The sequence below is a fragment of the Homo sapiens genome, chromosome 12 (assembly GCF_000001405.40).
Source record: "Homo sapiens chromosome 12, GRCh38.p14 Primary Assembly".
Classification (NCBI taxonomy): domain Eukaryota; kingdom Metazoa; phylum Chordata; class Mammalia; order Primates; family Hominidae; genus Homo; species Homo sapiens.
In genome coordinates, this window is record NC_000012.12 from 81,583,916 (window position 1) to 81,597,356 (window position 13,441).

At 34.5% G+C, this 13,441-nt stretch overlaps 1 protein-coding gene across 44 annotated transcripts in view; it reads right to left on the reverse strand.

Moving 5' to 3' along the window:
* PPFIA2 (PPFI scaffold protein A2) overlaps positions 1-13,441 on the reverse strand; it is a 501,376-nt gene that overhangs the window by 325,941 nt on the left and 161,994 nt on the right. The gene's annotated exons all lie outside the window — the stretch shown is intronic.

Sequence of the window (13,441 nt, forward strand, 5' to 3'; positions counted from 1 at the left end):
TTTACTTATGTTTTTGTAATATAATTATTTCAAAATTCCTCAAGACTTTTTAAAGAATAAAATTCTTCCTCAAATTCTTTCTCAATTGACACATTTAGAATTAACTGATTCTTTTAGCACAATATAACTGCATCTTACAATCGTCTATTAAAATATTTGTTTTAACCTCTTATGCTTTACAAAAACTGCTCCCTGAAAATATACTTCACATCTAAAGCAAGTTCTTGATAAGTGTTTCCTGAATGAAAGAACAGTGTATGCAAATATTTGAAATATATTGTTGTTAAAACATGTGATTCCTTATATATTAAATATTTAACATTAAACAAAATTGTGTTAAAACAAATAATGTAGTCAGACAGTGATAAATTATAATGCTCGAAATACAGTTAATGTATAATATTTTATTTATGATGCCATATATCATTTAGGATTTCAAAGATGGCTTCATTTTCAGCATCTGTGTAACATCAACCAACTACACCTATGGCTTCTTATAGTCCTATTATAACCTCAGAGCTGGATCATCTTAAAAAGAGCAGAATAATAATGTGCCAAAGAAGACAGAAGTACAGGATAAAGTATGCTACAGTTATACATCATCTAATGACTGGCTTGTGTTCTGAGAAGTGCGTAATTAGGTGATTTTGTCATGTAAACATCATGACACAATACATAAATCTAGATGGCGAGCCTACTACGCATCTAGCCTATATGGCATAGCTTACTGCTCCTAGGCCACAAACCTGTACAGCATGCTACTGTAGTGATTACTGTAGGCATTGTAATATGGTAGTAATTGTATATCTAAATATATATAAGGCCTATCTAAAACATATGGTAAATATATAGCATAAAAGAATAAAAAGCATTATATATAATATATATATTTATTATATACAATAAATTTATTATATTTACATATTTTATAATTATAAATATAATATAATTATATTATATAATTATATATTAATTATATTTATATATAATATATTATATATTAATTATATTTATATATAATATATTATATATTAATTATATTTATATATAATATATTATATATTAATTATATTTATATATAATATATTAATTATATTTATATATAATATATTAATTATATTTATATATAATATATTATATAATTATATAATATATAAATATAATATATATAATATATAAAAGAATAAAAAGCATAAATATATAGCATAAAATAATAAAAAAGAATAAATATAGGGCACTTACCATAAATGGAGCTTGCAGGACTGCAAATTGCTCTGGGTGAATTGGTGAGTGAGTGGTTGGTGAATGTGAAGGCCTAGGACATTACTGTACACTACTGCAGGCATAGTAAACGATGTACACTTGGGCTACACTAAATTTACAAAACATATTTTTCTTCCTTCAATGATAAATTAGCCTTAGCTTACTGTAACTGTTTTACTTTATAAACTTTAGGTTATTTTTTTCACTTTTTGACTCTTCTGTAATAACACTTAGCTTAAAACATAAACACATTGTATAGCTGGACAAAAATATTTTCTTTCTTTATATCCGTATTCTATAAGCTTCTTTTCTATTTGATTTTTGTTTTTACTTTTTAAACTTTTAAATTAAAAATAAGACACAGACATGCACATTAGCCCAGGCCCACAGAGGCTCATGATCATCACCACCATTGTCGTCCACCTCCACATTTTGTCTTACAAGAAGGTCTTCAGGAACAATAACACCCACAGAGCTGTCACCACCTATGATAATAGTGCCTTCTTCTGGAATTCTTCCTGAAGTACCTGCCTGAGACTATTTCACAGTTAAGTTTTTTTTAATAAGTAGAAGTACACTCCAAAATATCAATTAAAATATTGTATAGTAAATGTATAATCCAGTAACATAGAAGTTTATTATCATTATCAAGTTATTATGTACTGTACATAATTGTATGTGCTATACTTTTATATGACTTGCAGCATAGTAGGTTTGTTTACACTAGCATCACCACCAGCATGATGCATTGTGCTATGACGTTATGATGTGTATGATGTTATGATGACTATGATATTATGATGGCTATGATGTCACTTTGTGATAGAAATTTTTCAGTTGCATTGTAATCTTATAGGACCACCATTATATATGCACTTTGTCATTGACCACAATGTCATTAAGTGGTTGTATGACTGTATATACAAACATTACACTGTAGTTCAGAACTGTTGCTTTTGCATTAATTTTATTTTGTAGAAAACAACCAATAAATACAATGTTTTCTATGAATCATGTGTCTTTTCTTCACCAAAATAATTACAATCAAGAATATTTACGATACAATAATTAGGTTATGTCCATTGCTTCCTAGTGTCATTGTCCAGTTTTCTATTTAAAGTTGCTGAGGTTTGCTTTTTGATATAACTTAAAATATCAGTTTGTGATATTCTTTTAACATGCCAGTAATAGCATTGACTCTTTTTGACTCCCAGTGATACAAATTTCTTTAAATCTTTACATGTTGTATGCAGCACTTAGCATACAAAGTCAGCTATTCTCTTTTAATTTGTAGATACAGTAAATTATATTTTAAAATTAGCTAAATTCAGAAATTGGTAATTTTAATATACATATTTATGACTATAAAACTAAGATGGTAATAAAAGTCATAACAAAGATTCAATATGGTAAACTTCAAAATGAATTATATAACACAATTTAAAAATACACAAGAAATGCATTTATAAAGAAATACAAGAACACTTTCAAAAGGATACTTAGCATTCTGAAAATTTATATTATATAAGCACAAAATAATGTATATATTATAAGGATCTTGACAAGTCAATATATTTTACTGAGCTTCCCTAATTGATATATAAAATACTTAAAGTAGTGCCTGTGCTCACTTAACATTACATTTCTCTAAATTTAAGATAAGCCAATAAAAAGATTATTTGTAATCTTGAAATAAATTATGCTATTATTTAAAAAGTACCTTCATCATTAAAACAACAGTTAATCTTGAGTTCCATCTTTACTGGAAGTAAATACTTTTACAAGATTCCATATATATTCCATTGAGCTTTTAGAATAACCTTATGACCTAAATATTTTTTTTATTTTCCAATGGTTTAGGAAAGTAAAAATAGAGAAATAATTTCACTTGCTTATAGTCACACTCTAGCAAACTGTAGAACCTGTTTTTGAATAATGTATTTAATTCCAATGGTCATTGATATGGTTTGCATCTGCTTCCCCATCCAAATATCATCTTGAATTGTAATCCTCACATGTAGAGGGAAGGACCTGTAATTCCCATGTGTCGAGGGAGGGGAGTGATTGGATCATGGCGGCAGTTCCTCCTATCCTGGTCTTGTGATAGTGAGTTCTCATGAGATCTGATGGTTTTATAAATGCTTGACAGTTCTTCCTTCACACTTTCTCTCTCTTGCCTGCCACTTGTAAGACGTGCCTTCTTCCCCTTCCACCATGATTATAAGTTTCCTGAGGCCTCTCTACCCATGTGAAACTGTGAGTTAATTAAACATCTTTTATTTATAAATTACCCAGTCTTGGGTAGTATTCTTTATACCAGTGTGAAAATGGACTAATACATTAATGTTCTTAACTATTATGAATTTTTTAGAATAATTCTTGTTATTTGTAAAGTATTTTGAAAATATAAAAGGAAAAAGCAATAAAAATGGTAGCAAAGTTAAATATGAACTAGAATTAAAAGTAAATTTGGAAGTAGAATTATGTAATTGAAATTACCCAATTTATAATAATATTGTCTGTATGTACATTTAAAGTCAAAGCACTTCTGTTTATCTGTCTACTCTAGAGAACAGAATAATATGCTATTGTGACTTTTTGATAGTTTTCCTTGGGGTAACTCTAAGATCCTTGAGTGCAGAGGCCTAGTGTTTTTCTCAACATTGTTGAAGTCTGACATAATGGTGCCTCACAACAAGGTGTGTCAAAGTTAGCAAACTAATTTTAGTCTAAAATTTAAATATGAATTCATTTATTCATTCAAAAAGCATAGAAACTTTCTATATGACAGGCATTATGCTAGGTGTCAATAAAAATGTGACCAGTTAAGTGAAATAAATTATATGCTCTCTAGGAATTCCCAATCTAGTGGTGCAGAGAGACAAGCAAAAAACTAAGGGTAGTATAATAATGCAATACACATATCTTTATTATGGTAAGGAAGTATAAGAACAGGAGAATTTATCTTGAATTAGGTTTCAGGGATAATAGTCCAGGATGGGGTTGAATGGGAATATAAGCTTCCAGAAAGTATTTATAAAATAAAGCTAATACACACATTTAGGAGTCAGGAGTATCTAACTTTAAGTAACTTCAGGGGTAATATTCAAGGAGGGGTGATAAGGAAAACAACTTCCAAAATGTACTTACAAAGTAAACCAAGCACACACACTCAAAATAATGATAATTCTGTGTAAGTGAATGTGTCCAGCCCCACCCTACTCCCAATCTCCTCATTCTCTGCTAAAGCCATTTCATCTACTTCCATGGCTTCCTCTACCCAGTAACCAGATGTCTCCCACATTAACATCTACTACTCAGGCAGACCTCTTTCCTGAGAGCCAAACCTGTGTTTCCAGCTGTCTAATCAATCTGTTCAAAACTGAACTTAATATATTGTTTTCCAAACGGCTCCTTCTCCATATTCATCTCTCCTTCACTAGAAATATTAAAGATAAACCTGACCTTTCCTCTTTTGCCTCTTATAATATTCAGCAACTTTATAAATTCTTTTGAATTATATTTATTATACCTATTAAATATGTTTTACTTTCTCTTTTATTAGCTCACATCCTTGCCAACTCTAGTGTGATCTATGGACCATACCATACCACTGAAACCACTGTTTCAGTAGCTGCTTTATTGGGCTCTTTCTAACCACCTGGACTGTACTCAGTGTATTAAATACTTTATATCAAGAACTTGCCAAGTCATTTACATACTTCCAATTTCTTTCCCCTCCAGATGATACCTGAAACATAGAGTTATTTTAGCTAGGTACAAGTGAAATACACTTGTATGCCTAAACCTGAGAATCATAAAAGCATTTATGTGATTTTAAGGAGGTTGCACTAAATCAGAATACCAGCAATGACTATATGACACTAAGTAAAACATTCTTCTTCTTAATTTGTAATAAAATTCATCACCTATTTACTAATCATGGTTTTGTATTAGGCAATCTGCTTGATGTCTGTGAATTAACAATGAGAATAAGGATGCAGCACCTGCCCTCATATAATATACAGCCTAGCTAACTTGTATTAGGTAGAGACTTCTGCAAATGGAAGAGTTATAACTTCCTATCTGGAGCCCCAAAGGCTACTCATTGATTTCTATGGTTGCTATCACTGATATACAGAACATTCTTAAAAAAACAAAGGTGTGTATTTATGACAGATGTTTTCCTTGAGTTGCCCTTTATATCTTTCAGTGCAATTTCAGGATATAAGTTTATTGGAAATTTGATTATAATAAATATGTATTTGCAACTAGGAAAATACTATCAGTAACGACTACATGAGGGGGTGTAGTTAAATAAAAGCCTTAAATTTAAAAATCCAGTGAGGCAATGTTTTCAAGTTATGGAGACAAATTTCTGTAAATGTCTGCCCTAATAGGTAAACAGTATTGGAAATTACATAGTTTAGAATACTTTTGTTGCTGCATGTAATAATTAACAGTTTAGGCAGCAGAATATAATGGAAAGAGCATGGATTTTTGTGTTTTATAGCTCTGGATTCAGAAAAACTATATTACTCCCTCTTTGCGTTATTAAATGCTGATTTGGGTACCTTTATGGACCTTCATTTTTTCATCTCTAAGTGGGAAATCATGACAACTCATCTGCATTTTTTTTAAAAGCTACTGAATTGTTCCCTCTGTTCTCGTCCAAATCCCAACCAAGGAAATATCCAGTATTCTAACAGCAAATCCAAGCTTTTTTTCACTCCTCACTGAAAATTCTTAAACCCAAATCCAAGGTCTTAGGGATTACAGTTAAAGCTATCTTTGTATTTTGGAGGTTGCATACTTTATTTTTAGCCATTTCCTGTCTCTAGGTTATGTTCCAGTTATTTTAAACATCTCTTGTATTATCTCTGCCATTCATAAGCATGAATGCATATAATTGGGTGACAGAGCAAAATACTGATTCTCTCTCTTGGCTGGGAAACTCTGCCTATATTACTGGGTAATCTTGCAGCTAAGAGGTATTTTGTATCATCTGTATATTGTTACTTTGTCTTCATTAATTTTATTTGAACACATAACACATGCCAAGCATTCTGAGAGGTATTTCCAGATGGATTTAAAATTTATCTACCATAAGAAGTTATATGGTCCTCCAAATAATAGAAAAATAATGGCAGACTCTTAGGTAGCAACAAAATGACAGAATGTAGAAAATCTTGTTCTTTGATGAAAAGCCAGAATTACCTCAACCTCATTTGATTACAGAGATATGATGCTATCCATATACTAATTACCATTAGTATCTTTTTTCTTTTTCTTTTTTATTTTCTTTCCAATTTTATTTATCTATTTATTTATTTTTGAAACAGGGTGATAGGGTTTGGCTGTGTCCCCACCCAAATCTCACCTTGAATTTTAACTCTCTCAATTTCCATGTGTTGTGGGAGGAACCCGGTGGGAGGTGATTGAATTATGGGGGTGGGTCTTTCCTGTGCTGTTCTCATGATAGTGAATGAGTCTCACGAGATCTGATGGTTTTAAAAATGGGAGTTTCCCTGCCCAAGCTCTCTCTCTTTGCCTGCCACCATCTATTTAAGATGTCATTTGCTCTTCCTTGCCTCCGCCATGACTGTAAGGCCTCCTCAGCCATGTGGAGCTGTTAAGTCCTTTAAACATCTTTTTCTTCCCAGTCTTGGGTATGTCTTTATCAGCAGTGTGAAAACGGACTAATACAGTAAATTGGTACCAGGAGTGGGGTATTGCTGAAAAGATAATTGAAAATGTGGAGGCAACTTTGGAACTGGATAACTGGCAGAGGTTGGAACAGTTTGGAGGGCTCAGAAGAAGACAGGAAAATGTGGGACAATTTGGAACTTCCTAGAGACTTATTGAATGACTTTGACCAAAATGCTGATAATGATATGGACAATAAAATCCAGGCTGAGGTGGTCTCAGATGGAGATGAGGATCTCTTTGGGAACTGGAGCAAAGGTGACCCTTGTTATGTTTTAGCAAAGAGACTGGTGGCATTTTGCCCTTGCCCTAAAGATTTGTGGAACTTTGAACTTGAGAGAGATGATTTAGGATATCTGGCAGAAGAAATTTCAAAGCAGCAAAACATTCAAGAGGTGACTTGGGTGTTGTTAAAGGCACTTAGTTTTAAAAGGGAAACAGAGCACAAAAGTTTTGAAAATGTGCAGCCTGACAATGCTATAGAAAAGAAAAACCCATTTTCTGAGGAGAAATTCAAGCCGGCTGCAGGAATTTGCATAAGTAACAAGAAGCTGAATGTTAATCCCCAAGACAATAGTGAAAATGTCTCCAGGGCATGTCAGAGACCTTTGTGGCAGCCCCTCTCATCGCAGGCCCAGAGGTAGAGGAGGAAAAAGTGTTTTCATGGGCCGGGCCCAGGGTCCTTCTGCTATGTACAGTCTAGGGACTTGGTGCCCTACGTCCCAGCTACACCAGCTGTGATTAAAAGGGGCCAAAGTTCAGCTCAGGTTGTTGCTTCAGAGGGTGGAAGCCTGAAGCCTTGGCAGCTTCCACATGCTGTTGAGCCTGTGGGTGCACAGAAGTCAAGAATTGAGGTTTGGGACCTTCTGCCTAGATTTCACAGGATGTATGGAAATGCCTGGATGCCCAGGCAGAAGTTTTCTGCAGGGGTGGGGTCCTCATGGAGAACCTCTGCTATGGCAGTGCAGAAAAAAATGTGGGGTCAATCTCTACTGGGGAACCACCATTGCTTGCCTCCAGACCCCAGAATGGTAGATCCACTGACACCTTGCACTGTACACCTGGAAAAGCCACAGGCACTCAACACTGGCCCATGAAAGCAGCCAGGAAGGAGGCTGTACCTGTAAAGCCATAGGGGTGGAATTGCCCATGACCATGGGAACCCACCTCTTGTATCAGCATGAATGGATGTGAGACATGAAGTCAAAGGAGATCATTTTGGAGCTTTAAGATTTGACTGCCCTGCTGGATTTCAGACTTGCATGGGGCCTGTAGTCCTTTTGTTTTGGCCAATTTCTCCTGTTTGGAATGGCTGTATTAACCCAATGCCTGTGCCCCCATGGTATTTAGGAAGTATGCAACTTGCTGTTGATTTTACAGGCTCATAGGCAGAAGAAACTTGCCTTGTCTCAGGTAAGACTTTGGACTGTGGACTTTTGAGTTAATGCTGAAATGAGTTAAGATTTTGGGGGACTGTTGGGAAGGCATGATTGGTTTTAAAATGTGAGAACAAGACATTTGGGATGGGTCTGGGATGGAAAAATATGGTTTGATTCTGTCCCCATCCAAATCTCATCTTTAATTGTAACTCCCACACTTCCTACATGTTGTGGAAGGAACCCAGTGGGGTGTGGTTGAATTATGGTGGTGGGTCTTTCCTTTATTATTCTCATGATAGTGAATGAGTCTCATGAGATCTGACGGTTTTAAAAAGAAGAGCACAAGCTCTCTCTTTGCCTACTGCCATCCACTTAAGACATGACTTGCTCCTCTTTGCCTTCCACCGTGATTGTGAGGCCTCCTCAGTCACAGGGAACTGTAAGTCTACTAAACCTCTTTTTCTTCCCAGTCTTGGGTATATCTTTATCAGCAGCATGAAAACGAACTAATACACAGGGTATCACTCTGTCACCCAGGTTGGAATTCACTGGTGCGATCTTGGCTCACTGCAACCTCTGCATCCCAGGCTCAAGTGATCCTCCGACCTCAGTCTCCCAAGTAGCTTTGACCACAGGTGTGTACCACCATGCCCAGCTAATTTTTTTGTATTTTTGATAGAGACGGGGTTTCTCTGTGTTGCCTAAGCTGGTCTTGAACTCCTGAGCTCAGGAGTTCCACTTGCCTTGGCCTTGCAAAGTGCTGAGAACACAGGCATGAGCCACCATGCCCAGCTAAGTATCTTTTTGAATAAAATTTCTTCATGCAATTGAGATTTTCAGTTTACATATCAGTCTCCTATTTCAGGTGCTAATCCTATCTGCCAAGTATGAGACTATATACAATAAAAATTTAAAGTTCTCTTGGTAAAATAAGAAAAACCCCAATTAATAAAAATGGTAAAGAGGTATTAAAAATCCTCAAAAAGGCTTTGGCTAGCTACCATAGAAATATTAAAAAACAATAAAATTAAAAAATTTCCTTGGTCACTCATGTATCTGTTACATATTTTTAATAATCTTACTTTGTGTGGTACACAAGCAAATTTACATTTATACATCTTTAGATACTATCCCTATTAATAAATAGTTACGTCTCACTAACTGCCTATATAGTTAAAAGAAAAATAATTAGTTGCTTACTGTGTTAAATTTTAATAGGTAAATCATTTATTTTTGAAATATATTTTCCACCTTACACACATAATATTGGTCTCCATGTATGAGGAACACAGCTTAATAAAATGGTCTTGGGGATTATAACGAAGCATAAAATTTGTTTTGGTAGCAGTATGAACAAATAAAGAGGATTTTTTACAAAAGGCATTTAATACAGTGTGCAGGAATGGGTGAAGGCTTCACAGAGGAGGTAGCATGTGAGATAAGTCTTTAAGAAAAATTTTCCAGTGGGCACTTTGAGTGAAGAGGCAAAGACAATCACACAGAAGAGCATGCAAACAACTTTTTTAGGAAAGAAAGTAGAGTGTGTCCCATATCAGGAAGGTCTTTTTTATGCCAAGCTGGGAAGATAATTTCTGTCATTTAAGGCAGTGATCCCAACTGGTGGTACCTGTCCATGGCCTGTTAGGAACTAGGCTGCAGAACAGAAGGTGAGCAGTGGGCAAGTGAGCAAAGCTTCATCTGTATTTACAGCTGCTCCCCATTACTCACATTACCGCCTGAGCTCTGCCTCCTGTCAGATCAGTGGTGGCATTAGATGCTCATAGGAGTGTGAACCCTATCGTGAACTGTGCTTGTGAGGGATCTATGTTGCACCTGCCTTACAGAAATCTCATGCCTGATGATCTAAGATGGAACATCTTAGATCCCTTCCCTGAAACCATCCCTTCCCGTCCCCCTCTCAAGTTCATGGAAAAATTGTCTTCCAGAAAACCAGTGTCTGGTGCCAGAATGGTTGGAGAAGAGAAGTATTTTAAGCACGGAAGCAGGAGGTTACTATGTTTCCAAACCTATAGTAAAGTTTCTTTCTCTTGTTTTCAGTAGGTATGAAGAGTTAGCCACTTCTATACATAGTTCTGACAGATAATGTTATTAATGCTAGGATTCAATGGCTAAACAAATAAATAAATATATCTTAAACAGAAATAATTCTTCTATGGGCCCAGGAGATAAAATGCCTTCTATCAGAAATTATTCCTTTGGTTTGAAGAAATGGGTTGCGAACTTCGTTTTGTTTTGTATGTGATAGTAACACACTGTTGTTATTTATGAAAGTTTCCACAGAGAACTCATAAATAAAAAATGTAAATGTAGAATAGAGAAACTTGGTGAGCCTCAAAAGAATGTTTCGTAGCCTGGTGGGGTGGCTCACTCCTGTAATCCCAGCACTTTGGGAGGCCAGTGTTGGAGGATTGCTTGAGCCCAGGAGTTCAAGACCCTGGAAAATATAGTGAGACTTCCATCTATACAGAACATTAAAAAAGTAACTGGGTGTGGTGGTGTGTGCCTATAGTCCCAGCTACTTGTGGGGCTAAGGTGGGAGGATCGCTTGAGCCTGGGAGGCTGAGGCTGCAGTGAGCTTTTATTGGGCCACTGCACTCCAGCCTGGGCAACAGAGCGAGATGCTGTCTAAAAATAAAAATAAAATAAAATAAAAATATTTTCCCTGCTGTTGCTAGCAACTACTGACAAACTCCCATGAAAGTTTAGGACTGTGCAGATATGGTTTGAAAACAGCTGAGTGAAGGTATTTAATTTCGAGGAAATGAGGGGAGCCATGGTGGTGGCCAGGATATCTGGGAGGAGGAACACATTAAGTCATGATTAACCACTCAGTAGGGTTAGTAGAGCAAATAGATGGTGTTATTTACAAAGATAAAGCTATGAAAGAACAAATGTAGAATCATGTTGAGACATCATTTTTATGGACATAAAGGTAACAAAATTCACTGTGTTTATATATATATATATATACTTTAAACAAACATATATATATATGTTTGTTTTAAAGTAGGTTTTCCATTTGTATATATTTGAGTCCTACAAATTGACACTTCTAATGCATAAGAATACTGCAAATATTATTTTCCTCTAGTAGCTCTTAATTTTAACTTTTGTCAATTAAAGGGCATTTTAGAAACTACATTCTAGAACTTGACTTTTGATGAGAAGTCATTCATTAGACATACAGTGCAAATTGAGTGCTGGCATCATCCAGGGTCCAGGCACCTCTGAGTAGAAAACTGCAGGCACAAGTATATTCACAGTAATATAAAACTGATGATTCACACATAAGGGAATTAGCTTAAATTGAGTGTTACATATTCTATTAAAAAAGGCATATGTGTTTGCACAGAAGTATGAATGTGTTTGTCTAAATTAAAGATGCAATGAAGAGCAAGGTCTTGTACTAAGAATATCCTTCAACTTCTTATTTGTTGCCTTTTCACCTTTGAACTGCTTAGGTCAAATACATTCTAAATCTTACTCTTAAAATGTGATAGCATACCATGTCAGAAAAAAATGACAGGATAGTTTGGATGTTTAACGAGAATATGGAGCTAAAACACAGTATTATTCATGCTAAGCTCTCTTAAATATATTTGCATATGTTAACTCCTGTGCTAGAATTATTTTAAGGAAGTAAGCATTAAAATCCCAACTCCTTGATGCAGAATCATTTTAGAAGTACATTTGCACCATTTCATAATGACAACCATTTTTGAAAATTTAATCATTTTCTCAAGATACAGTTTTTGACAAATGGTCTGTTACTTTACAGCATCTCATTTGTTTTTATAGCATTTCAACCAAAGAAAATATGCTGCCTCAATATGGGTTAATGTATATAGGTAAGAAAATCATTTAATTCTTTATAATCAATATATAATTCTAATAATCATTCAGTATAATTGTAATAATCATTTAATTCTTTCTTTTGGAAAAAAAAAAGCCAAGAGTTGACTATTATATACCTTAATCTTTGTGCTTTAAAAATCTTCTTTCTCTCTTTCTTCCACCAAAGGCAAAAACAAATGACAATAGCAACAAAAAGATAAACATCAAAACTTAAACACATATTGTCTGTTATAGACCTCAGGATCAAATATTTTAGGAAATTAAAAATGTAGAAGAACAGAGTTTATGTTTGGTAAAATTTATATCTTATCTTAATTCCTACGGTTTTTACAAGAATATGTTATTATCGACAAAAAGGGGGTAGTTAAAAATCGTTGCAGTGTGTTTTCAAAGAAAGTCACCTGCCAAGAAAGGTGTCAGTAAGATCTTTACTGAAAGAATTGTAAAAAGCCTCTGTCATGACCGAGCATATGGAATGAACTGACCCTTAAACTTTAAGAGACTGAAGTAGAATACCTAATGTCAAATGCTACCCAAAGAGCCAGCTGCAGGATATTGTAAGAGGTGTTCATATCTCAGTGTACAGAGGAGAAAAAAAAGTAATAATTCTGTACAGCAGCCCCAGGGCACTTGCATTTTGAATCACTGCCACAATAAGCAGATCACCAGTAGGAAGAGAATATATTTTGTAAAACCACAGACTTGCACTATCAGTAGACATCAGTGTAAAACAGAAGAGGCAACAGAATTAAAAATAGAAGTATAGAAAGGGGAGAGAGAAAGAGTAATTATATCTACTGCCTACAGTTTGCAAAGGCAAGAGACTTATAATTCAGATGTGCATTTATTTAGAGATCCCTTCAAAAAATTCTGACCACCTTTATTATATTAATTCTCTAGGCCGTTATACTTATTTTTTCCAAGTATGGTATAATTATACAGCCAGAATAATTAAATGTCAGGCTGTCTATATTTCCATAATGTATAATATACAGGGAAAAGAATATCAAGTTCCTTTTTCATGTAACGATGATATGACTGAATTACAAAGTAAACCTTAGGAATGAAAGGCACAATTTGAAGATAAAAAGAAGATAGAATCTGATCTAGTTTAGACTTAGCCATTTTCTAGACTGATGGCTGATTTATTCACAGGCAATTGAAATACATTTAGTAGGTAACAGCTTTCTAACTCATATTTATATTATAAATCATTT